The 23,910-nt window shown below is 51.9% G+C and overlaps 1 protein-coding gene across 31 annotated transcripts in view, besides 10 other annotated features; it reads left to right on the top strand.

Annotated features, from left to right (window-relative positions):
• The window catches only part of TBC1D16 (TBC1 domain family member 16), a 103,530-nt gene that overhangs the window by 70,771 nt on the left and 8,849 nt on the right, over positions 1–23,910 (top strand). For 6 of the 31 annotated variants that reach the window (NM_019020.4, XM_047435350.1, XM_047435358.1 and 3 more), the window contains 8 exons: positions 12,284–12,445; positions 13,505–13,652; positions 14,524–14,691; positions 15,237–15,385; positions 16,096–16,230; positions 17,271–17,457; positions 20,015–20,194; positions 22,896–23,042. In NM_019020.4, coding sequence (NP_061893.2) covers positions 12,284–12,445; positions 13,505–13,652; positions 14,524–14,691; positions 15,237–15,385; positions 16,096–16,230; positions 17,271–17,457; positions 20,015–20,194; positions 22,896–23,042 — 1,276 coding nt within the window. Of the gene's footprint in view, positions 1–12,283; positions 12,446–13,504; positions 13,653–14,248; positions 14,347–14,507; positions 14,692–15,236; positions 15,386–16,095; positions 16,231–17,270; positions 17,458–19,658; positions 19,830–20,014; positions 20,195–20,994; positions 21,250–22,895; positions 23,043–23,910 lie in introns of those variants that run through there. The other 25 variants (XM_047435351.1, XM_047435359.1, XM_047435348.1 and 22 more) reach the window with 15 other exon arrangements.
• Positions 8,344–8,844: an enhancer, noted in NCBI's record as "H3K4me1 hESC enhancer chr17:77930057-77930557 (GRCh37/hg19 assembly coordinates)". NCBI's record gives its function as "activates a minimal SCP1, AML or CMV promoter by ChIP-STARR-seq in naive H9 embryonic stem cells {active_cell/tissue: H9 hESC(naive)}" and the evidence as "EXISTENCE:reporter gene assay evidence [ECO:0000049][PMID:30033119]".
• Positions 13,031–13,614: an enhancer, noted in NCBI's record as "H3K27ac-H3K4me1 hESC enhancer chr17:77925287-77925870 (GRCh37/hg19 assembly coordinates)". NCBI's record gives its function as "activates a minimal SCP1, AML or CMV promoter by ChIP-STARR-seq in primed H9 embryonic stem cells {active_cell/tissue: H9 hESC(primed)}" and the evidence as "EXISTENCE:reporter gene assay evidence [ECO:0000049][PMID:30033119]".
• Positions 13,615–14,198: an enhancer, noted in NCBI's record as "NANOG-H3K27ac-H3K4me1 hESC enhancer chr17:77924703-77925286 (GRCh37/hg19 assembly coordinates)". NCBI's record gives its function as "activates a minimal SCP1, AML or CMV promoter by ChIP-STARR-seq in naive H9 embryonic stem cells {active_cell/tissue: H9 hESC(naive)}" and the evidence as "EXISTENCE:reporter gene assay evidence [ECO:0000049][PMID:30033119]".
• Positions 14,783–15,366: an enhancer, noted in NCBI's record as "OCT4-NANOG-H3K27ac-H3K4me1 hESC enhancer chr17:77923535-77924118 (GRCh37/hg19 assembly coordinates)". NCBI's record gives its function as "activates a minimal SCP1, AML or CMV promoter by ChIP-STARR-seq in naive H9 embryonic stem cells {active_cell/tissue: H9 hESC(naive)}" and the evidence as "EXISTENCE:reporter gene assay evidence [ECO:0000049][PMID:30033119]".
• Positions 15,367–15,950: an enhancer, noted in NCBI's record as "H3K27ac-H3K4me1 hESC enhancer chr17:77922951-77923534 (GRCh37/hg19 assembly coordinates)". NCBI's record gives its function as "activates a minimal SCP1, AML or CMV promoter by ChIP-STARR-seq in primed H9 embryonic stem cells {active_cell/tissue: H9 hESC(primed)}" and the evidence as "EXISTENCE:reporter gene assay evidence [ECO:0000049][PMID:30033119]".
• Positions 15,951–16,534: an enhancer, noted in NCBI's record as "H3K27ac-H3K4me1 hESC enhancer chr17:77922367-77922950 (GRCh37/hg19 assembly coordinates)". NCBI's record gives its function as "activates a minimal SCP1, AML or CMV promoter by ChIP-STARR-seq in primed H9 embryonic stem cells {active_cell/tissue: H9 hESC(primed)}" and the evidence as "EXISTENCE:reporter gene assay evidence [ECO:0000049][PMID:30033119]".
• Positions 16,904–17,730: an enhancer, noted in NCBI's record as "H3K27ac-H3K4me1 hESC enhancer chr17:77921171-77921997 (GRCh37/hg19 assembly coordinates)". NCBI's record gives its function as "activates a minimal SCP1, AML or CMV promoter by ChIP-STARR-seq in primed H9 embryonic stem cells {active_cell/tissue: H9 hESC(primed)}" and the evidence as "EXISTENCE:reporter gene assay evidence [ECO:0000049][PMID:30033119]".
• Positions 20,341–21,066: an enhancer, noted in NCBI's record as "H3K4me1 hESC enhancer chr17:77917835-77918560 (GRCh37/hg19 assembly coordinates)". NCBI's record gives its function as "activates a minimal SCP1, AML or CMV promoter by ChIP-STARR-seq in naive and primed H9 embryonic stem cells {active_cell/tissue: H9 hESC(naive and primed)}" and the evidence as "EXISTENCE:reporter gene assay evidence [ECO:0000049][PMID:30033119]".
• Positions 21,067–21,792: an enhancer, noted in NCBI's record as "H3K4me1 hESC enhancer chr17:77917109-77917834 (GRCh37/hg19 assembly coordinates)". NCBI's record gives its function as "activates a minimal SCP1, AML or CMV promoter by ChIP-STARR-seq in naive H9 embryonic stem cells {active_cell/tissue: H9 hESC(naive)}" and the evidence as "EXISTENCE:reporter gene assay evidence [ECO:0000049][PMID:30033119]".
• Positions 21,925–22,204: an enhancer, noted in NCBI's record as "active region_12926". NCBI's record gives its function as "activates an Ori minimal core promoter by ATAC-STARR-seq in GM12878 lymphoblastoid cells {active_cell/tissue: GM12878}" and the evidence as "EXISTENCE:reporter gene assay evidence [ECO:0000049][PMID:35858748]".

The following is a 23,910-nucleotide window of genomic DNA, read 5'->3' as shown; positions in this document are numbered from 1 at the left end:
CCGCCTCAAAAAAAAATTAATACAGAAAATTAGCTTATTATTTCTGATTATCAGAATGATACATTATGCCTTTTAGAAAATTCTTTTAATGCGGTGAAAGTATATTATAGACATGCCATCTAGATATGATCACATTATAGTTTTAGTATTATTTTCTACTTCTACACTTGCATAGGTATAAAATACCTGTCAATATATATTATATATAAAACAGTATTGATAGTATATTTTTATATAGTTTTGCAACCTACTTTCCTCATTCAGCATAACAGTGTGAGGATTTCTCTGGTCATCACATACTTTTATTAAATATTTTATAAGTGCTTAATGGCGTTGTATCATATGAATGTGCCACAATATATTCAAATATTCTCCTATGGTTGAAAATTTAGCAATAGTACTGAGAGTTGAATATTGGTGGTATTTTTTACAAGTTTATTGAAGTATAACTGTACAATCAACTGCACGTGTTTAAAGTGCACAATTTGATCAGTTTGGACATAATATACACTCATGGAGCCGTCATCACAATCAAGATAATGAACAGATCCATCACCCCCAGAAGTTTCTTCGTGTCCCCCCAATGTCTTATCTGCAATTTGGCAATGATTTCTTGGCTATGACACCAATAGCACAGGCAATAAAAAAAATAAACTGGACCTCATGAAAAATTTAAAAATGTGCGCATCAAAATATACTATCAGCAGAGTATAAAGATCACTCACAGAATGCGGGAAAATATTTGCAGATCATGTATGTTTAATAAGGAATAATTGTCCAGGATTTATAGAGAACTCCTAAAACTCAACAACAACAAAAAACAACTGGCCGGATATGGTGGCTCACGCCTGTAACCCAGCACTTTGGGAGGCTGAGGCAGGCGAAATCACCTGAGGTCAGGAGTTCGAGATCAGCCTGGCCAACATGGTGAAACCCCGTCTCTACCAAAAATACAAAAATTAGCTGGGCGTGGTGGTGCATGTCTGTAATCCCAGCTACTTGGGAGGCTGAGGCAGGAGAATAGCTTGAACCTGGAAAACAGAGGTTGCTGTCAGCCAAGATCATGCCACTGTACTCCAGCCTGGACGACAGAGCAAGACTCTGTCTCCAAAACAAACAAACAGACACACACAAAAAACAACCAAACAACCAAACAAACAAAAACAAACCCCAAACAACCCAATTCAAAAATGGTCAAAGGATTTGAAAAGACGTGTCTCCAAAGAAGAGACACGAATGCCCGATAAGCACATGAAGGTACTCAATATCATTAATCATCGGGGAAATGCAAAATCAAAACTCCAATGAAATACGACCTCCCACCCATAAGGATGGCTACTATCAAAAAATAAAAACTAACAAGTGTCGGTGAGGATGTGGAGGGATTGAAATCCCTATGCATTGCTGGCGGGAATGTAAGGTGGTACAGCTGCTGTGGAAAACAGTATGGCAGTTCCTCAAAAAATTAAAAATAGAATGACCATATCATCCAGCAATTCCATTTCTGGGTATATACCCAAAAGAATTGAAAGCAGAGACACAGAGATATCTGGACACCATGGCTTCACAGCATTATTCACATAAGAACATAGAGCAACCCGTCAATTGGTGGATGAAAAGATAAACAAAACGCGGTCCATCCGTACAATGGAATATTATTCAGCCATAAAAGGGAAGGAAATTCTGACCCACGCTACGGCATGGATGAACCTGGAGGACATTGTGCTAAGTGACATAAGCCAGTCACAAAAAGACAATACTGTATAATTTCACTGAGATTAGGTGCTAGGAGTAGTCAGATTCATTGAGACAGACAGTTGATGTTGCTTGGAGTGTGAGGGGGGAATGGGAAGTTATCGGGCTTTTTTTTTTGCTTTTTTTTTTTGAGATGGAGTCCCACTCTGTCACCCAGGCGGCAGTGCAGTGGCACAATCTCGGCTGACAGCAACCTCCAACTCCTGGGTTCAAGCACTTCTCCTGCCTCAGTCTCCCCCAAGTAGCTGGGATTATAGGCGCCCACCACCACACCTGGCTAATTTTTTTTTTTTTTTGAGATGGAGTTTTGCTCTTGTTGCCCAGGCTGGAGTGCAATGGCGCGATCTCGGCTCACTGCAACCTCTGCCTCCTGGATTCAAGCGATTCTCCTGTCTCAGCTGGGATTACAGGCTCATGCCACCACACCTGGCTAATTTCTGTATTTTTAGTAGAGATGGGGTTTCATCATATTGGTCAGGCTGGTCTCGAACTCCTGACCTCAGGTGATCCGCCCACCTCGGCCTCCCAAAGTGCTGGGGTTACAGGCATGAGCCACCATTAATTTTTGTATTTTTAGTAGAGATGGGATTTCATCATGTTGGTCAGGCTGGTCACAAACTCCTGACCTCAAGTGACCTGCCCACCTCAGCCTCCCAAAGTGCTGGAATTACAGGCATGAGCCACCGCGCCTGGCCTGGAAGCTATTGTTTAATAGGTATAGAGCTTTTGTTTTACAAGATGAAAAGAGTTCTGGAAATGGAAGGTGATGATCATTGTACAATATTAGAAATATATTTAATACCTGAACTGTACATTTAAAAATGGTTGAGATGGGGCCGGGTGTGGTGGGTCACACCTGTAATCCCAGCACTTTGGGAGGCAAGGTGGGCGGATCACCTGAGGTCAGGAGTTTGAGGCCAGCTGGCCAACATGGTGAAACCCCATCTCTACTAAAAATACAAAAATTAGCCAGGCGTGGTGGCGGGTACCTGTAATCCCAGATACTTGGGAGGCTGAGGCAGGAGAATTGCTTGAGTCCGGGAGGTGGAGGTTGCAGTGAGCCAAGATCTTGCCACTGCACTGTAGCCTGGCCAACAGAGTGAGATGACTCTGTCTCAAAAAAAAAAAAAAAAAAAAAAAAAAAATAGGTTGAGATGGTAAATTTGATGATAAGTATTTTTTAACACAATAAAATAATTGGAAAAAGGAAAAAAGTTGCATCTGCTTTGCATCACTCTAGATTTGTTTGCCTTTTCTAGAATTTTATGTAAATGGGATCATGCAGTATGTGCTTGTTTTTTGTCCTGCTTCTTTCAATCAGCATAATAATTTTGTCATGCGTCCATGCTACTGCGTGTTACAGCTGAGTAGTATGCCATGGTATGTACAGACCACGATTCATTACTGCATTGGCTGTTGATAAACCCTGGGTTGTTTTCAGTTCTTATCTATTTTATTTTATTATTTTTATTTTTATTTTTTTGAGATGGAGTTTTGCTCTTCTTGCCTAGGCTGGAGCGCAGTCTCGTGATCTTGGCTCACTGCAACCTCTGCCTCCAGGGTTCAAGCAAGTCTCCTGCCTGAGCCTCCCGAGTAGCTGGGATTATAGGCGCCCGCCACCACGTCTGGCTGATTTTTTGTATTTTTGGTAGATACAGTGTTTCACCATGTTGGTCACACTGGTCTCAAACTCCTGACCTCAGGTGATCCACCAGCCTCGGCCTCCCAAAGTGCTGGGATTATAGGCGTGAGCCACTGTGCCTGGCCAGTTCTTAGCTATTTTAGATAAAGCTGTTACACACATTTATGTGCAAGTCTTTGCACGTGGACATATGTTTTTATTTCTCTTGGTAAATACTTGGGAATGGAATAACTGGAAACAGGCATGTGTTTAATTTTTAAGAAATTACTGAACTGCTTTCCTAAAGTGGTTTGCCGTGTTGCATTCCCACCAGCAGTCCGTGAGAGTTCCAGTTCCTCCATGTCCTCAGCAACACTTGCTATGATCAGTCTTGTCCACTGTAGCCATTCTAATAGGTGAGTAGGAGTATCTCATTGTGGTTTTAATTTGCATTTTCCTGACTACAGAGGATGCTGAGTATCTTCTCATGTAGCCTTTTGTGTCTGGCTTCTTTCACTTAACATAATACAACTGAGATGCTTCCATATCGTCATGCATATCAGCAGTTTGCTCCTTTTTATTGCTGAGGCGTATGTATTCCCTTGTTAAGATGTACCATTGTTTGTTTAGCCATTCACCAGCTGAAAGACGTTTGTGTCATTTCCTGTTTTCTGCAATGATGAATAAAACTGCTATAAACATTCACACACAGATTTCGTGTGAACATTTTCCATGTATTTTGGGTAAATACCTAGGGGGCATTGCTGAGTCATATGGTAGGGGTGTGTGTGACTTTATAAGACACTGCCAAACAGTTCTCCAGAGTGGTTCTGTCATTTGACTTCCCGTCACATTGTAGGAGAGTTCTGTTGCTCGCCTCCTGGCCAGCACTCACAGTGTCAGTTTCATTCCTTCGTTTTTTTTTTTTTTTTTTTTTTTTTTTTTTGGGTTTTTGTTTTTTGGGTTTTTTTGAGACAGAGTCTCACTCTGTCGCTCGGGCTGAAGTGCAGTGGCATGATGTTGGCTCACTGCAACCTCGCCTCCAGGGTTCAAGTGATTCTCCTGCCTCAGCCTCTGGAGTAGCTGGGATAACAGAGGTGCACTGCGATGCCTACTAATTTTTTGTATTTTTAGCAGAAACGGGATTTCGCCATGTTGCCCAGGCTAGTCTTGAACTCCTGAGCTCAGGTGACCCACCCGCCTCAGCTTCCCAAAATGCTGGGATTACAAGCTTGAACTGCCTTGCTCGTGGCCTCATTCATTTGTTTTTTAGTCATTCCAATAGATGTGTAGTGGATCACATCATGTTCCTTTAGATTGCATTGAGGTTTCTTTCTATTTGCATTTCTCTAATAATGAATGCTGTCGAGCACCTTTTCATAGGCTTCTTGGCCATCTGAATATCCTCTTTGGTGAAATGTCTTTTCAAATCTTTTGCCCATGTTTGGATTGTGTTTTCTTATTACTGTTTTGAGGACCTTTTCTATATTCTGTATAGAATGATGATTTAAAGCATATTACTGACTTATATGATAAGCCCTTTATCATATAAGCATTTGGCAAATATCTTTTTCCCAGTCTGTGGCTTATCTTTTTATTTTCTTAACAATATCTCTTAAAGAGTAGAAGGTTTTCATTTTAATGAAGATTAATTTTTTTTTTCACTTATGGTCATATGTTGGTGTCTGGTCTAAGAAACCTTTGTGTAACAATAGTATTTCATTTTAACAGTTTCTTATACATACTCTGGATACAAGTTTTTTGTTGACTATATGTTTTGTGAATATTTTCTCCCAGTCTGTGACTTGCATTTTTGTTTCCTTTAATGGAGTATTTTGATGAAAAAAAAAAGTCTTTAATTTTCCAATTTATTATTTCTTTTACAGTTTGTATTTTTTGTGTTCTATCTAAGAAACCTGGGCCTATTCTAAGGTTACACAGGTTTTCTCTTACGGATTCTTCTGGAAGTTTCCTAGTTAAGGTTTCACATCTAGGTCCGTGATCCGTTTTGAGTTAATTTGGGGGAGTGATGGGAGAAAAGAGTTGATGTTAATTTTTTTCATGCAGATATCCTGTTGATCCAGTATCGTTTATTGAAAAGCCATCCTTTCTCCACTGAATTGTCTTTGCACTTTTGTAAATAATCAATTGATATTTTTGGACTCTGTTATGTTCCATTGATTATTTGCCTATTTCACCATAGTTATCTTTTCACCAATACCAAACTTTCTTGATGATAGCTATGTAGGTCTCAAAGTCAGATGCATCCTCCAACTTTGTTCTTCTTTTTTATAGTCGCTCTGGTTATACTAGCTCCAAATTTTAGGGTCAACTTATCAATTTTCACTAAAAATTCCTGTTGGAATTTTGATTGGGCTTGTGTTGAATCTGTAGATCAGTTTGGCAAGATTGTCATCTTAACCAAGTTGACGGTTTTATTCTATGGACATGGTGCATTTCTGCATTTCTTAAGATCCTATTTGACTTATCTCAGCAATTTTTGTGTTTTTCAGTATGACGTTCTTGAATGTCTTTTGTCAGGCTTATTCCGAAGTATTTTATGTGGGGATTTTTTTGCTACTATAAATTTAATGTTTTATTTATTTCATGTTCCAATTGTGCATTGTTACTGTTTAAGAATACAATTAATTTTTCTCTATTAACCTTTTATCCTGCAGTTTTATGAAATCCAGTTATTAGTTCTAAAGATTGTTTTATAAATTCCATGAGGTTTTTCAGATGAACAGTTGTATCAACTGAAAATAGGGGCAGTTCTGTTCCTTCTTTTCCAGTCTTTATGCCTTTTATTTCCTTTTCTTGCCTGATGCAGAGGCCAGGGCCTCTGTGAGAGCATGGACTAGAAGTGGTGGGAGCAGAGGCATTCTTACCTTGTTCCTGCTCTTGGGGGAAAACAATTCCATCTTTTACCATTCAGTATGACGCTAACGGTGGAATATCTGTGGGTGCCTTTATCAGCTTGAGGAGCTTCTCTTCCATTCCTAGTTTGTAGACAGGTTTGTCATAAATGAGCATTGGATTTTTGTCGAATGCTTTTCTGCATCTGTGCATGTATGCCTTTATTGTGGGCACCTCTGGCTATGTCCTTAGGATTCATTCCTAGGAATGGAAGTGAAAAGTCAAAATGTATAAACATTTTTAAGCCTTTGGCATCTTGTTTCCAAATTGCCATTCAGAAATATTTGGTCAGGGCTGGGCGCGGTGGCTCACGCCTGTGATCCCAGCACTTTGGGAGACTGAGGCAGGCGGATCACGAGGTCAGGAGTTCCAGACGAGACTGGCCAACATGGCGAAACCCCATCTCTACTAAAAATACAAAAATTAGCCAGGCATGGTGGCAGGCGCCTGTAATCCCAGCTACTCGGGAGGCTGAGGCAGGAGAATCGCTTGAACCCGGGAGGTGGAGGTTGCAGTGAGCCGAGATCTTGCCATTGCATTTCAGCCTGGGCAACAAGAGCAAAAAACTCCATCTCAAAAAAAAAAAAAAAAAATTGGTCAGTTTATATTCTTTCTCCCCCTGAGCTGAATGAGAATGTCTGTTTCCCCAAATCCTTTACCACACTAGATTTTATAATTTGTTAATTGATGCCAATTTCATAAACCATCCCCCCACCATGTTATCCCGTTTCTATTTCCATTTATTTCATTACCCTGGGCCTGGAAATTTTATTCATTATTTGTATTTATTCTCTACTAAATTTTTTTATTTTCCTTTTGCCAGTTTTCTGTTGGGCATTTATATTTTTCTTTTTAATTTACATACTTTTTTACATACTAAAGATGTTAATCTTTATCATATATGTGTCCCAGTTTCTTTGGCTATTCATTTGTTTTGTTGGTTTTTTTTTTTTAATAGATGTTATTTTTTGAAGCTGTTTTAGTTTCACAGCAAAACTGAGTGAAGGGTACAGAGAATTCTCATCCACCCCCTCCCCCACCACACGCACAGCCTCCCCCACCAGAGTGGGACACATGTTACGACTCATGAGCCCACACGTCATTGTCACCCAGAGTCTATAGTTTGTCGGCATTCACACTCGGTCTTGTACATCCTATGGGTCTGGACAAATGTATAAAGACACCTGTCACCGTGACCACTCTGGTGTCATGCCGGTGTGTCACTGCCCTAAAAGTTCTCCGTGCTTCACCTTCCTACCTCCCCGCCAGCTCCTGGCAACCACTGGTCTTGTCACTGTCTCCATGGTTTTGCCTTTTCCAGAGTGTCCTAGAATTGGAATCCCACAGGGTGCAGCCTTGTCACAGTGGGTCCCTTCACTTAGTAAACCCCTTCGTAAGACGCACTGAAGTTCCCTCCGTGTTGTTCCACAGCTCGACAGCTCATTTCTTTTTAATGATGAGTAATATATTCCCTTGTCTGGCTGCACCACAGTTATTTAAACTTATTTATCCATTCACTACCAAAGGACATCTTGGTGGCTTCCAGGTTTTGGCAATTATGGGGGACCACCAAAGGGTGTCATTCTTTCCAGCCTCCTCTCCCATCACAGCCTCCTCTCCCAACCCAGCACACCGAACACGCCCTGCTCACTCCTCCAATACCTACACATCCCTCCCAGCATACTGTGTCCCACCCACCCTACAGGGCAGGGCAAGGTTTCCAGAAACCAGACAGAACACAGAGACTCGCTTTGGCAGTCACGGGTGGAGGGCCCCCTCCCTGCTGCTGTGGCCACAGAAGACTGGTCCCCTGGAGGGCCAGTGCCAGTTTCTATCTAGGCAAGAGTCCTGGACCCAGGAGCCACCGCACACCTCCCCCAGCAACGTGCCTCCAGGCAGAAGTTGGCTTAAACCCTCTCACAACCCCTTAGGGGCAAATTATTTGCATTAATTAATGGATTGATTCATTAATTCAGGACACTGTGCTTGGGACCTACAGCTGGGTTCTCATCGACTTTTTTCAGCAAACTTAAAAGGCTCAGGATGAAGAAAAGCAAGAGGAAATTTAGCAGTTTAGGTATTTTAAATAATGCTAAAATCTGGCCCTGGTAACCTTGAGAACCACAGCTCAATATGTTTGAAGGTTTCTTCCTCCCCTTCAAGCTTTTTCTGAGAGCTGGCTTGTCCTGCGTGTGTCAGTGATCCGTTGCTGTGAAACAAACCGCCCTCAAACTCAGCAACTTAAAGCGACCACCGGGCCCAGCGTGGTGGCTCACGCCTGTAGTCCCAGCACTTTGGGAGGCCAAGGCAGACAGATCGCTTGAGCTCAGGAGTTTGAGACCAGCCTGGGCAACATGGCAAAACCCCATCTCTATAAAAAATACAAAAATTAGCCAAATGTGGTGGTGAGTGCCTGTAGTCCCAGCTACTTGGGAGACTGAGGCTGGAGGATCGCTTGAGCCCCGGAGGCTGAGGCTGCGGTGAGTTGTGTTTGCACCACCGCACTTCAGCCAGGGGGATAGAGGGAGACCTTGTCTTTAAAAAACAAACAAACAAACAAAAAACCGCTTCTTTGCTCACAGACCTTTGGTTTGGGCTGGGCTGGGACAGGCTGTTGCGCTGGGCTCCCTGGAGTTCACTCAGGTCGCTGCAGCCACCAGGAGGCTTGGGTGGGCGGAGGGTCTGGAACGGCCTCCATTGACAGGTGTCGGGGCTCTGGTGCTGACTGCCAGTTGCGTGTCTCTCTCATGAGCTCTCGTCTGTCTGTCTTGCCTGCACTGTGCCAAGAGGAAGAGTGAGGGGCTGCCTAGGCCCCAGAACTCACCTAACACCATGTTTGCCACATTCTATTGGTCAAAAAAGGCCCACCTAGATTCAGGGGTGGAGAGACAGGTGCTATCCTTGATAAGATGAGCTGTGAAGAATTTGAGGCCCTTTTAAATCTCTATCTCTGTATCTGACATGGCATAGTTTACTGTGGTGGAGGGAGAACCCAGTGTTTGTGTTTGTTTTCCAGTGATAGTGCTGACTTTTTTTCATTACTGCTTTTACATTTGGGTGATCTTCAGAAAATGATAGAAATGAAGAACTGCTACATTTCTTAAAGTTTAGCGTCTTCTAGTTTTATGTGTGAGATCTTTCTAATGTAATAGCATCTTGGGAGTTATCGCCTGCAAAACCCATCCTTTTAGTTCCAATGCATCACATAATTTTATGAACAAGCTAAATTATTTGCAGCATATATGAATATTCTTAAAACTAAATTGCTTTACGTGTGTAGAAAGATAAGCAAAAATAAAACACTGTACATATTTCGTTTTCCCTGTAGTTTATTTTCTTTAAACATTTTTTTCTGTGACTTCAAAATTCCCAGACACTTTACATTTTCACTTCAGGCATGAGTATTAAATGTCTGTGTGTTCTGCGCCAAGCCAGGGCTGGGAGCTGAAGATGAAGAGACACGATGCAACCCCCACCCCACAGCAGCCGGCCTCGAGGGGCACCAGACCTCGTCCTCCATGACCACACAGGGCCTGGGGTACCTGCCAGACGTACCCCAATGAAAGCGAACTGAGGTCTCCATCACCTTCGCTCTAGTTTGAGCTTATGGAACCCCAGCTGTAGGTCCCAAGCACAGTATCTTGAATTAATGAATCAATCCATTAATTAATGCAAATAATTTGCCCCTAAGGGGTTGCGAGAGGGTTTAAGCCAACTCCTGCCTGGAGGCACGTTGCTGGGGGAGGTGTGTGGTGGCCCCTGTGTCCTGGACTCTTGCCTGGTTTGAAATCGGCTCCGGCCCTCCAGGGGACCAGTCTTCTGTGGCCACGGCAGCAGGGAGGGGGCCCTCCATCCGTGACTGCCAAAGCGAGTCTCTGTGTTCTGTCTGGTTTCTGGAAACCTTGGCCTGCCCTGTAGGGTGAGTGGGCCACAGTGTGCTGGGAGGAACAAGCAGGTTTGGGGGATTCTGCTGTTGGGTGTGGTAAGAAGGCTGGGGGAGGAGGCGGGAAAGGATACCACCCTCTGATGGCCCCACTGGGTGGGCCGGGCCAGCAGGCAGCACACGGGGCAGCAGCTCTCACAGTCACAGCAGCCCCGCGGTTCAATGAGCAGATGACAGAAGGGGGCACCCATGGGTGCGGTGGGGCCTCAGACTCGAGACCTGCCCTGTGTTGTGAGCAACGATTCTGAAGCGCAGCTCCCGCAGGGTCCACTTGGGAAGATGTCAGGAGCCCTCGGTCTTCTGGGCCCGTCCGCGGCGCAGCCACGGCAGTTCAGGTGATGGCCCCACATGCCCATCTCTGATCTAGTTTTACCTGACTCAGTTTCCTTGAGAGCCCAGGGGCCCCAGCAGTGGGAGGACCTGTTCGGCTGACTTCCTTAGGCAGGTGGGGAAGAAAGGCCACCTGCCACTCACCAGGCCCAGGGCTATGCCTGACGCAGTAGAGGGCTCTAGAAAGGCCAGTCAGGTTTCTCTGTGTGAAGTTCCCAGTGGGGAGGGATTGTGCTGGAACCCTCCAAAGGAGCTTTATTTACTTAGACCTGGTGCTTCTTGGAGGAGGAAGTGCCTCTGGATTGATTGCCTCTAATAGTTTATGTTCTGAGCTCAAACGGGAAGGCAGGTGCGGTGAATGCGGCTGAGTCTCTGTGGGGTGCTGCAGTTGGGGTCCAGAGCTGAGTCTTGCCTGTACTCCGGTTTTATTTTAGCAGACATTTGCTAGACATTAAATCTCAAGAGAGTGTCAGGCGCGATGGCTCACGCCTGTAATCCCAACACTTTTGGAGGCTGAGGCGGGTGGATCACCTGAGGTCAGGAGGTCAAGACTAGCCTGGTCAACATGGTGAAACCTCGTCTCTACTAAATATATAGAATTAGCTGGTCATGGTGGTGGACGTCTGTAATCTCAGCTACTCAGGAGGCTGAGGCAGGAGAATCGCTTGAACCCGGAAGGCAGAAGTGGCAGTGAGCCGAGATCGCACACTGCACTCCAGCCTGGGTGACAGAGCGAGACTCCGTCTCAAAAAAAGAAAAAAAAAAGAAAAAAGAAAAAAAGAAAAAATCTCAAGAGACAAGATTTAACCTGTGAGGTGGCTGAATCCATATAATAAGATATTTTGCAATTTGGAATGTAACAAACTCATAAAAAATAACAGAATAAATGGGGTTGTACTGCTGAACTGCAGACAGCTGCACAGTATGCTGGTGAGAACATGGGCCACAAAGCTTGGGTTCTAATCTCAGCTCTACCACTTGCCAGCTGTGTGACCTTGGGCAAATTACTTAACCTCTCTGGGCCCCAGTTGCCTCTTCTTTACAATGGGGTAATACCACTATTCATTTCAGAGGATTTTTGTGAAGATTAATTGCAATAAAAGCACCTGAGAAGCATTAGCTCAGGGCCAGGCCCATAGTCAGTGTTTTAATAAATGCTGATGATGTTATTAATAGTACTGAGAACCCAAATGTTTCCTAACCAAAAGCATAAACTGAACCAGTACTTTTCAGGAATACAGTGAGCTGGTTTAAACCACGCGGAAGCCCCATGCTATCTAAAATCATCCCAAAACAACCAGTTTTAGTAAAGCCCAGCCCCACGCTGTAGGGAAACCCAGCCTTGTTATTCTCCTGCCTTCTTTATCCATGGGAAAACGAAGGCTGAGAGAGGCTTGGTGGCTTGGCCAAGGTCACACAGCGAGGAACCCCAGTCAGTGTGACCTTGGCTGTCAGGACGATGATGACTTACTGCCTCTATTGAAGTGGAATGGAATTTGATCATGAAAATGCTTTCCCATCCAAGTGGAAGTAGAACTGTGCAGTGGGGTTCATACATTCATTTATTCACAGGTGTTTACAGGGCATATTCAGCCGTGCCTGTATGTGTGTTTAAGCTTGGTGCGTAGGTTTAAATGACTCCCCCATGACCCCCGTCCCCCTCTGGGTAGTGTGGGCAGGGAGAAGTGTGGCGATCATCACATAACCTGTTCCACCAGCCCCCCGTCCAGCTCCGACGCCGGCCTGCGGTTCCCGGACAGCAACGGCCTCCTGCAGACCCCACGCTGGGACGAGCCGCAGCGGGTGTGCGCCCTGGAGCAGATTTGCGGCGTGTTCCGCGTGGACCTGGGCCACATGCGCTCCCTCCGCCTTTTCTTCAGGTAGGAAGCATCTCTGGGCGCCTCCTGGGAGTTGGCCTGTGTGTGTTTTCCCTGGCAGCCTGGGCTTTGCAGCCGGTGCAGTGCACGGCTTGGGGACACAGGGCCCTGGATGGAGTCTTCCCAAGCGTCTGCTTTCCTCCCTCGCTGATCTTGTGGGCAGTGATTCCCCACTGCAGCTCCCTGACAGTTCTCAGGCTGGGTGAGCTACCGAACTCACTCCCCTACCTTCAGCGTGATGGTAGCCAGCGGTTGCTTGCAACTCTGGCTTGGGAGAAGAAACCAAACCAGGGCAGAGGGTAGCAGCTGCCGGCGGCTCTGATCGCCGGGGGATGCTCTGGAGCTCGGCCACCTGTGCGGGACGGGCCGCAGCTTTCCGGATGGAGGCTCCCTTCCTTTCGTGATGGGTGGGCGATGCCTAGTTTCCTGCAGTCATTCCCCACACCAGATCCTCCTCCTTATAGTCAGGGCTGCCCAGCCGCAGACATCACCAATGAGAGGCCCGGGCTTAGAAGAAGCCGGCGTGTCCAGAAGCTGGGGGGGTTCCCAGACCCAGAGCCACATTCCAGCCTTTCATCTAAGGGCAGCCGGGGCTGGGCTGACAGCACTGACGGATGTTTACTGAGTTTCCCTGGAGGGTTCTCCCAGAGTTCCACCCACACGCAACGAAGGAGGTCTGTTCCCAGGAGGTTCTCTTAGCACATGGCCTGCCAGGGCTCAGAACTGGATTCCAGGGCACTCAGCGTTGGGACCCAGGTCTCCCGGACTGCAGGGACCATGTTGCCGGGCAGGGGGTGGTGGGGAGAAGGCCACTCTGGCAGGTCTCCAGAGAGGAGCTCCAGGGCCCCCCAGGAAGGAGCAGTTTTGCCATCTTCGGCAAAGGGGGTGGTGGTTTTTGTTCGGTGTAGTTCTGTCCCCTCCCGCTAGCAGCCAACTCCACTGGGACTCACTGTTTCCTGCTTCTGAGGTTGGCGACAGTGGCCTCTGATTATACTTGGAAATAAAACCCCCGTGTTTACATATTCATCGGGCTTCCCTCTCCCCCTTCCAATGGCCCTTCAGCGACGAGGCCTGCACCAGCGGCCAGCTGGTCGTTGCCAGCCGAGAGAGCCAGTACAAGGTTTTCCACTTCCACCACGGCGGCCTGGACAAGCTGTCTGACGTGTTCCAGCAGTGGAAATACTGCACCGAGATGCAGCTCAAAGACCAGGTAGCCCAGCAGACGGCCCCAGAATGCCCAGCGGTTGACACTCCCCACCCCCCACGGGCCCCATCTCCCTCCTGGGTCCTGTGTCTGGGGTCCCCGGGCCCCGGGGGCTTACGGGGTGTGACCCACGGTAGTTTTTGGCCGTCAGAGCAGCAACTTTGGGTTTGAAACCTTTGCCCAGGGCTTTCGGTAAAGTCAGTGCCCTGCACTTGAAAAATCATGTTTTGACAAGACTTCCTGCCATATTTTGCTCAATCTACGTACAAATGTAATAAGAGCTCTTTAATTATCTGTTTAAGGTACTGTATGTGCTTATTAGAAATGGGGCCGATTTTAAAATTCCCTTCCTTCCCGCAGAGCCTCCTGCTGGCTTCCCTTATTACAGTAGCATGGCTTTTTTTCCCCCTACATTGAACAACCTTTGATTTTTGAATTAAATGTCAGCTGCAGTTTTGCCCTGGATTCGTGACTGCTCGCGGAGGCAATCTGACAGGCTGGCTCCCTGCTCGCAGAACAGCGATCCCTTTGTATGTGGCCAATCACATGTAATTCATTGCAGGCCCTCCCGGCAGAGGGAAGTTAGGCCGAACGAGGCATTCATTCCGTTTTTGCGGCTGGGGTTGGAGAGAGTGGGGGGCGGCGGCACAGTGGGCCGGGGAGGAGAGAGCCGCAGAGGGAAACCGATTTTAAGATGAAGGTATTTTCATTTTAATTGCGCCTAATTACACTCGCCATTTAGGGGTTTGTATGCAGGGGACGGCCCTTGCCCTCCTTTCAGAAGAGAGAGAGGCTTTTATTCCTGGGAAAAGCACTGCTGGCCTCTGAAGCCGCGCGGCTGAGATCCTGACCTTTGCCCAGTTTTCCTCCCGTCCAGCAGGTCGCCCCCGATAAGACATGCATGCAGTTCTCCATCCGCCGCCCCAAGCTGCCGTCCTCCGAGACGCACCCCGAGGAGAGCATGTACAAGAGGCTCGGCGTCTCCGCCTGGCTCAACCACCTGAATGAGCTGGGCCAGGTGGAGGAGGAGTACAAGCTGCGGAAGGTGAGGTCCGGGTCCGCCCAGCTGGCCCCGCGGAGAGCCGGCCGGGAACCGGGAACGAGCGAGAGGGAAGGAGGGCCGGGGCCTGGCCGCCCGCCCGCACCCACGGGCCACCTCCTCGTGAGGGCCCCGTTTTCTTGTGTGAGGCTCTCTGTGAACACACCGATAAAGCAATCAAAGCTGCTGCGTTGAAAAAAAAAAACAAAACACAACACCTCCCTCGAGGGTTTGGGGGGATACCGTGTCAGCCTGCATAGAAGGGTTTGCAGTGAAATGCAGCATTTCCAAAACCAGGGATTAGGCCATGACGTGAGAACGACACGTTAATCTGAGCGCCACCCCAGGGGGGGCATTGACATTGAAATGAGCCGGGTTTGTGTCCTGTATGGGAATTGAAGGCCACTGCTTTCCCCTTGTAAATATGTGCAAATTGCAGAGATCTGAATCAAGGCGCACCAAAAACCACCAAAACACACATCTCTGGGGATTTGGGGGTTCTTTGAGCTGCCCCATTTTATCCCCTCCCCAACTTTTGCCGCTTCCTCCAGGCCATTTTCTTTGGCGGTATTGATGTGTCAATCCGCGGGGAGGTCTGGCCCTTCCTGCTGCGCTATTACAGCCACGAGTCCACGTCGGAGGAGCGGGAGGCGCTGCGGCTGCAGAAGCGAAAGGAGTACTCTGAGATCCAGCAGAAAAGGTAACCGCCGGGGCCAGCCCGGCCCACCCCGCCGAGCCGCGGAGGAAAATGTCATTTGAAAAGGCAATTTGAGGTGCAATTCAGCATTGATAATATGTTTCGTGACCCATAGTTTCTTTCAAAAATGGGTCTCCCAGGAACGTGAGTGATAGGGTGGGATAAGTGCAGTCATTAAACCAAGCACTCGGGCCTCGGAGCTGCGGGGCTCGTTAGCTCACATGTCAAGGTTTTAGAATTCTCGTTCAACAGACTTAACTAGGCGCTGACGTCCCACAGCTGAAGGCTGGGGCTGGGAGCAGGGCCTGGAGGGGTGAAGGCATCCGGAGACTGTGTCCCACTTGGGATCTGCTAACCCGGGACTGGGCTCAGCTCTCTCTCCAGGAGGCTGGGACTGGGTGAAGCCCCTGGGCTGTGCTCAGCTCCCCTCCAGAACGCTGGGCCAGGGCCAAGGCCTCATTACCCACTGGGCTGCAACTTGCTCTCCTTCCTGGGACGCTGGAGACTGTGAGGCTGAGTTAATATCAAGGAGAGCCTTGGATACACGCCACCCATCCGCCGCATCCGGGGAGGGTCTGCAGCCGGCAGCAGCCGCCCAGCTCCCGTCCAGGGAACGGGGGTTGGGAGGAAGGGTGGCTTCCTGCAGTGTGTGCGCCACACGATGCCTCTGGGTGCCACCCGCTGACCCCGGCTGGGTGCTCGGCTCCACACAGGCTCTCCATGACTCCCGAGGAGCACAGAGCGTTCTGGCGTAATGTGCAGTTCACTGTGGACAAAGACGTGGTCCGGACAGATCGGAACAACCAGTTCTTCCGGGGGGAAGACAATCCCAATGTGGAGAGCATGAGGTACTCCCTCCCCAGCCAGCTCCTTTCCCATCTGCAAGTCTGCAAGCCTCACCTGACCGCTCTGGGAAGTGGATGAGCCCCCAGCGAGTTTCTGCAGGGGCTCTCTTCCAGGTTCATACATCAAAGCCCCAGAAGTGAAGGATACGCTACTCATGAGCTACGTCAGTTGGCATCTCAGAGCCATGGCATCCCAGGGAAGCCACCCAGGTCCCTGCCCACAGAGCCCCTCTATCCCCTGGGCACCACCAAGCCTGTCCTTGCTTGGCTCACACTAACCATGGACCAGCTTCCCCATGCACCCCCTCCATCTCCCCGTGGGTGGTCCCGTAGTCATACAGCCACACAGAGCCAGAGGCTGGCATCTGTGACATTCTGCTACAGCCTAGCAAATAATTGCACAAAATTAGCAGCCCACAGAAATGTCCCTGCCAGCCCACCCCTTGTCACAGGCAGTCCACCCTTCAGAAAATCAGAGCCATGTTCCCCCTTAACCCCTGCTCTCAAGATTCTGGGCCTAGACAGCAGCTAATAGCAGGCCATTACTTTTTTTTTTTTTTTTGAGACGGAGTCTCGCTCTGTCATCCAGACTGGAGTGCAGTGGTGTGATCTCGGCTCACTGCAACTTCCGCTTTCCGGGTTCAAGCGATTCTCCAGTCTCAGCCTCCCAAGTAGCTGAGATTACAGGCGTGCACCCCACCATGCCCGGCTAAGTTTTGTATTTTTAGTAGAGACAGGGTTTCACCATGTTGGCCAGGCTAGTGTCGAACTCCTGACCTCAGGTGATCTGCCCACCTCAGCCTCCCAAAGTGCTGGGATTGTAGGCGTGGGCCACCGCGCCCGGCCAGGCCATTACCTTTTGCAAAGCAAGGGTCTGTGTGTCTGGAAGCTAAGCTTGGGCTCTGAGATGGTGGCACAGCTGCCTTCCACTGAGGTGAAGGCAAGCGAGGGAAGGCAGGGTCCACGGCCCAGGGTTCTGCAGGCTGGGCAGTGTGCCGCGGTGAGGGTCATCCCCACCCACTGCTGTCTCCACCGCCTCCCAGGAGGATCCTGCTGAACTACGCCGTGTACAACCCTGCCGTCGGCTATTCCCAAGGGATGTCGGACCTGGTGGCGCCCATCTTGGCCGAGGTCCTGGATGAGTCAGACACCTTCTGGTGCTTTGTGGGTTTGATGCAGAACACGATCTTCGTCAGCTCACCCCGGGACGAGGACATGGAGAAACAACTGGTGAGGCTCAGGGGGATGGGTGCGTCCAAGGGCATGTGAGGGCCCGTGTTGCCTCTCCCGTTGTAGCCGGGGTTGCCGTGGTGATGCGTGGCTTGGCTGCTGTAGGTCAGTGGGCAGTGGGAACGCCAGGATAGGACTTGCCCGTGGGATATGGGCGGCTTAGCCTATCTCGGCCTCCGGGGATGGCCCTCTGACTCCCTGCAGGTCCAGAGGCCGCGTTGTGTGGGCCGCTCTGGTGGCCTTCCACCCCTGCACGTGACAACCTGGCCCAAGCTCCCTGGCTGGCAAGGAAGACGTGGCACCATCACACCCAGCCCCCTCTGAGCCTTAGAAAATGGGTCCTCAGGTGTGTCTAAGCTGCTCCCTGCAGGAGTCAACACAGCCAGGGCTTCTGAGTGCAGACAGGAAGAGGAGGGGCTCCTGAAACCCCCTGAGGTCTCTGGGGCAGTCCTCACACCCCACCCCTCCCCTGGGGTGCCCTGCTGACACCTCTCCCGTCAAGGCCTCCTCAAAAGGACCAGCCCTATGTAGACCAGGAAGCACTGAATGTCGGTGGTGGGGCTGAGCCCAGCTGGGTAAGGCAGCGCCGGAGGGCCAGCGTGTGGGACCGAACCAGGGCTGAGCCAGGGCACCTGCTCACTGTTCTCAGCACACATCACCCATGTCAACCAAGTGCCTGCCGGGTGCAGTCACCAGACATTCACCCTCCTGGCTGGGCCAGGAAGCTGGCATTGTGAGCAGAGGACGCTGGGTGTCGGGGAGCACTGTGGGAGGTGCCCGTGATAAGGACAAGAGGGCTCCTGCACCGGGGACAGCTCCAGGGTGTGTGGGGTCTGGCCCTGAGTGTCGCTAAGGCTGGGCTGAGCAGAGCAGTCCCAGTGGTGGGACTGAGTGACCTGGTCTTCCTGGACCAGACCCGTCACAAGTAGTGAGGGTGGAGCTGATGGAGGGCCTTGAAGGCCAGGGCCACAGAGTGTGTCTCATAGAACGGGGGTCCCCACCCCCAGGACACAGAGCGTGTCTCAGAATGGGGTCCCCACCCCAGGACACAGAGTGTGACTTGTAGAATGGGGTCCCCACCCCAGGACACAGAGTGTGACTTGTAGAACGGGGTTCCCCAGCCCCAGGCCACGGAGTGTGTCTCATAGAATGGGATCCCCACTCCCAGGCCCAGGACTGGTACTGGTCCATGGCCTGTTAGGAACTGGCCGCACCGCAGGAGGTGAGCGGTGGACGGGCCAGCGAGCATTCCCGCCTGAGCTCCACCTGCCGTCAGATCAGCGGCTGCATTAGATTCTCACAGAAGCTCGAACGCGAGAACCCTACTGTGAACTGAGCATGTGAGGGGTCTAGGTTGTGTACTGCTTATGAGAATCTAATGCCTGATGATGTGAGGGGGAACAGTTTCAACCTGAAACCATTCGCACTACCTTGTCCGTGGAAAAATTGTCTTCCAGGAAACGGGTCCCTAGTGCCAAAAAGGTTGGGGACCGCTGCTATAGACTGACTGTTAGTGGGTCGCTGATGACAGGCTGGGAGAGCTGATGCCAACAGAGAGGATTTGAAGGCAAAGGAGCCCAAGCAGGGAGGTGCAGGCACCTGCACAGGGGGCGGGAGTGGAGCATCTGCAAGGGGGTCAGCCACACGAGTGGGCTTGACCTGGCCGTAGGCCACAGGGCGGAGGGCTGGCCGCACAGCTTCAGCGCAGTCTCCCGTGGGAACAATGGGCCACCTGTGTGGGAAGGGGGCATGTGGCCCCGAGCTCTGCCCCAGGATCCCCCCAGCTGTGATCTAACTCCACCTGGGCCGGGGGGCTGAACCCAGCCAAGCCTGCTCACTCTGCATCAACGGGTGTGTGTGACGTCGGGTGTCCACATTGCTTGGGGAGGCAGTTACAGTGTCCAACGCCATTCGCCTCTGACGGCTCATGGCAGCGCATGGCTGGGTGACTCACTGAATGCTGGAGATTGATTTTCCAGCGGCATTGATGAAGTCAGCGGCCTGGGCCCGAGTGCTGCCAGAAATAGCCCCGATCTTGTCCCACATCATTGGGAGATGACCTTAATGGCAGGAATCGAGCATCCTGGGGCTCAGATACGTCCCCTTCCTGCCCTAAAACAGCTCTGGAAGATGATAGATCTGGGTGAGCGTAGCCGAAGAGGGGTGGGGGGGCTCCCTGGATGATCCACTCACCTCACCAGGAGGAGTGGACGTGGGAAACAGCCCCCAAGTGTGCACTGAGGGTGGGGAGCCTTCCTGGCCATGGAGCGGCTGCCAGCGTCCTGCCACGCCCGGGCACAACACTCTGCCTCACCCTGGACCACACCACAGCCTCCGGAACAGTCAGATCTGGGAGGAACTGGCAGAGGCAGGTGTGAGCCGATTCCAGCGGCGGAATGGAGCGTTGGGGGGGCAGGCACATGCAGCAGGTAGAGGCCCCTGGGTGTGCTTTTCCAGGCTGGGGTGGCCCAGGGAAGGGCCCCAGTGGGAGTGGGCTTCCTGGGCAGCAGGCCGCATGGGACCGGAGCTAACTAACGCGTGACGGCCTCACCCCCAGCTGTACCTGCGCGAGCTGCTGCGGCTGACGCACGTGCGCTTCTACCAGCACCTGGTCTCGCTGGGCGAGGACGGCCTGCAGATGCTCTTCTGCCACCGCTGGCTCCTTCTGTGCTTCAAGCGGGAGTTCCCCGAGGCCGAAGCGCTGCGGATCTGGGAGGCCTGCTGGGCCCACTACCAGGTGACCAGGGCAGGGGCCAGGGCTGGGGAGGTTGGGACCATGGCCCCTGAACCACCGTGGCCACCCTGCCTGCTGCCCCTGTCCGCCTCGCCGCCCCCCACCCACAGCCACACATTAGCCCCCCATACGGCGACTGCCTTCCCGTCCCACGTGGCTGGCTTCAGACCTTACAGCTCGCCTCCCCAGTCACTGAAATCGATGCAAATTGCCCGCTGACTGCACTCATTACCACTTTCTGGGGCTGAGCTCCCTCCTGTCACAACCAATCAGTGTGAGTGACACTGTGGGGGGCCTACACTAGGCCACAGCAGCCCAGGACGCTGGTGCCCACGAGCGTGAGCCAGCACCGCTCCACCCCCTCGGGACCGCCCTGCCACGAGGGCCGACTCACCCGTTACCCTGCTGTGCAGAGAAAGGGCCTGAGATCCCACTTCCCTGTCGGCCCCTCCAGAGGGCCCCAATCAGTGATACCGACTTCCACTCTCCGTCCACCGTCACCAGCATCTTCTCAGCAAATTCCCCTTGGAGCACAGCACTGGCTCTGTCACATGGCCTTAACGCCCAAACTAGGGACAAGCTGGAGATGTCAAAAGATAAGCAAGTCTCTTTGAGTCCATCAGCCTTTTAAAAAAAAAACTCACATCGACGCATCCAGGAGGGCTGGACCCTTTTGCAGGAGCTGGCTCTATCCACCACGGCAGCTCCAGCAGCCTCCGTCAGAGAACCCTGAAGATGGAGGCAAACACCCATCTGCTGGAAGACATTTGCGTCAGCGTCTCCTGTCCTCACTCACACCGCAGGGGGCTGATGTCTGATGAAAGCGAGTCTGAAGCCACCGAGTGCCGGTACCACACGCCGCCTTTGCATGCGGTCATCGGCTCGCCCCTGGCCCGGGTCTAGGTTTCCCTCCTGGCTCAGCCTGCTGGACGTGGACGTGCAGGGTGGACGATCTGCATTAACGAAGGGAAGCACGGCATGGACGGTCTGAGAGGCTTCATTCCCACCACTCCCGAATTAAAAAAAATCGTGCCTCATTGCACGTTTTCCCAGTGGCAGATTTGCCGCCCTCATTCCTTTACGTTCAGGCTGATGTTACCCGTGAACTCAGCGCGTGGCCCGGCAGATGGGTCCCTTTCCCATGGACACCTACTGTGTCCCAAGTGTAATGAGATCTAGTCAGAATTCCAGCGGGAGGCCCACGTGACGTGGGATCTCTGTTGGCTGCCATTGTGTTGGAAGTCCACAAAGCAAGTTTCTGTTGTTTTCAGACTGTGGGCTTGATTTAGCCACGGTCGGTCCCATCCCTCGATCAATTTGGTAGTATTACGGGGTGGGGGTGGGGGTGGGCTGCTGATGAGCTGAGAGTGAGCTCTGTGGAATGGGAAGGTTGCTGCCAGGTGAGGCCTTTAACTGTTCAGTGACCCCTGAGCGAGAAAGGCTTTTGATGCTATCCGTCCGCTGTCAGCATGTGGTGGGGCTGGACGGCCCTACGCCCTGCCTGTCCTGGGAACTGAAATCTGCCTATGCTGTGCAGGCTGTGGAGATCGTGCCCTCCCTCTCCCTCCCCACATTCCTCTCCCAGAGAAGCTGGGCGTCCACCTTCCTGCAACCCCTCCGCTGTGTCTCGCACCAGCCACAGTTCAAATCACTGCAAAAGGATCCGTCAGAGCCAAAACAAGACCGTCCCAGATTAGTTCAGAGGAAGCAGCCGGGCAGCCTGGTGCATGGTCTCTCCAGGAGCAGGCTGGGGCGTGGGAGTCACCTGTAGCCTCTGCCCTCATGGTGTGCTCCGCTCAGCCTGGGCCGGGGACACCGTTCCGTCTGGTTTGTGTGGTCGACGTCAGGAGACTAAACATGGACTTCCCAGTGCCCCCGTCCTTCCTGTGCCTCCGGAAGCGCGTGTGCATCAAAGGTGGCGTGTCTTGAGGCGGCCAGGCCGGAGAGCACACAGGATGCAGCCGTCAGGACCTGGCGTGGGCTTCCTGCTGCACACAGCGCGTTGCTGGCAGGCCCCGTGAGGCGGTCTTTAAAGGGAGGGCTGCGGAGTCCTCAAAGTATGCCCGAAAAGAGGCTCAAGGACAGGGCGATCATTTCAGCCACCCTGTGGGTGAGCTGCTGTGCCCGCTCTGTTAGGATCTTCCCACTTTTCTAGCCACAAACCCTAGAGTCATCTCTGGGGCATGATTGGGGGGTGTGGCCTGGAGCCAGGAGGACAGGCTGACCCGTGGGTGGCTGCCAGAGGCGCATTCCATGACCCGCTGGAGTGAGTTCTGACCCAGACTTCCGCACACACCGTTGCTCAGGACCATTACAAATGAGTCCTCCCCATGAGCACAGGCCAGGCCTTCTGAGGAAGGGTGCTCTTTGTACCCCCCCACCCCCACCCTGTCATGGAGACCACCCACATCACCACCCAGGAGAGCAGCAGCAGCCCGTGGGGGCTGAGCTCAGCATCGTCCCCTCTGGATGTCACAGCAGCCTGGGCATGCGGGTACTGGGACAGACCCCATGTGCAGGTGGGGAAACTTAGGGCCGAAGAGGCGGTGCAGCTTGCCCAGGGCCACACGGCCCCCGAGCTGGGCTGTGAGCCCAGACCCCTCGCCCTGGAGCCCTCACTCGCACCCTGGCACTCAGTTTCCCCCTGAGTGCAGGGCCTGGGGCTCGGTCAGAGCCCGTGTCTGAACTCTACCCGCCTCCACAGACGGACTACTTCCACCTTTTCATCTGCGTGGCCATCGTGGCCATCTACGGGGATGACGTCATCGAGCAGCAGCTGGCCACGGACCAGATGCTCCTGCACTTCGGAAACCTGGCCATGCACATGAACGGGGAGCTCGTTCTCCGGAAGGTGAGGCTGCCCCAGATGTGGGCCCCACCCCGCCCCGCCCCCAAAGCCCCACCCCACCAGCTCGTTCTCAGAAAGGTGAGGCTGCCCCAGATGTGGGCCCCGCCCCCAGAGCCCCATCCCCACCATGGCCCCCCAGCACGTGCCCTCCCCCACCCATAGCACTGGGGGCTCCCCACTAAGGCCTCGTGGTCAGCACCTGTCTCGGCCTGGCTGTGTCACCTCACTTTCCTGGGGTGCCAGCCCTGACACAGGAGCCTCCCTCGCTGGCTGAGGAGGGAACGAATTCACCGGGGCTGACGGACAGGACAGGTTCCCTACCCTGGGGTACCTCGCTTACAACCCAGAACTGGGAACACTGAGAAGGAGGCTGGACCTGGGGACAGGGTGGCCAGAATACTGGGGACCTTGGGCTTTGGCCCCCTCCCCCACTTCCCAGACGCCTCCTGGAGATGCTGCCCGTTAGCTCTCTGGTGGTCCTCAGGGCACTGAGCGGGGGTCCCGAGGTCGGTGGTGTCCTCTGGCACAGGACACAGATCCTGCAGGAGCTGAGAGGCTGCTGGGGGTGGGGGGTGGAGCAAGGTGCGGGGGAAGAAGAGAGGGGTGCTGCCAAAGGGACAGGTGGGCTTGGCTGGACGCCACCCGGCCCTGTGCTGGTGTTGGTCCTGTTCACCCTCCTGAATGAAGCCCATTCAAGGGCCTTGTTCACCTCGAGCCACCTGTGAGCACAGCCCGAGTGCCTTGTGGGTCCCATCACTGCAGCCACCTAAGACCCAGGGCCCCGTGGTGCCGGTGATGGTGGGAGATGCAGGCAGAGCCCTCAGTCCAGGACTCGGTGAGCCCCCGAGGTGCAGGCCGTTGTTGCTGCTGT

The sequence above is a fragment of the Homo sapiens genome, chromosome 17, assembly GCF_000001405.40.
Source record: "Homo sapiens chromosome 17, GRCh38.p14 Primary Assembly".
NCBI classification, from domain to species: domain Eukaryota; kingdom Metazoa; phylum Chordata; class Mammalia; order Primates; family Hominidae; genus Homo; species Homo sapiens.
Note: the sequence above shows the minus strand (reverse complement) of the source record. Positions and strands in the feature narration are given on the sequence as shown.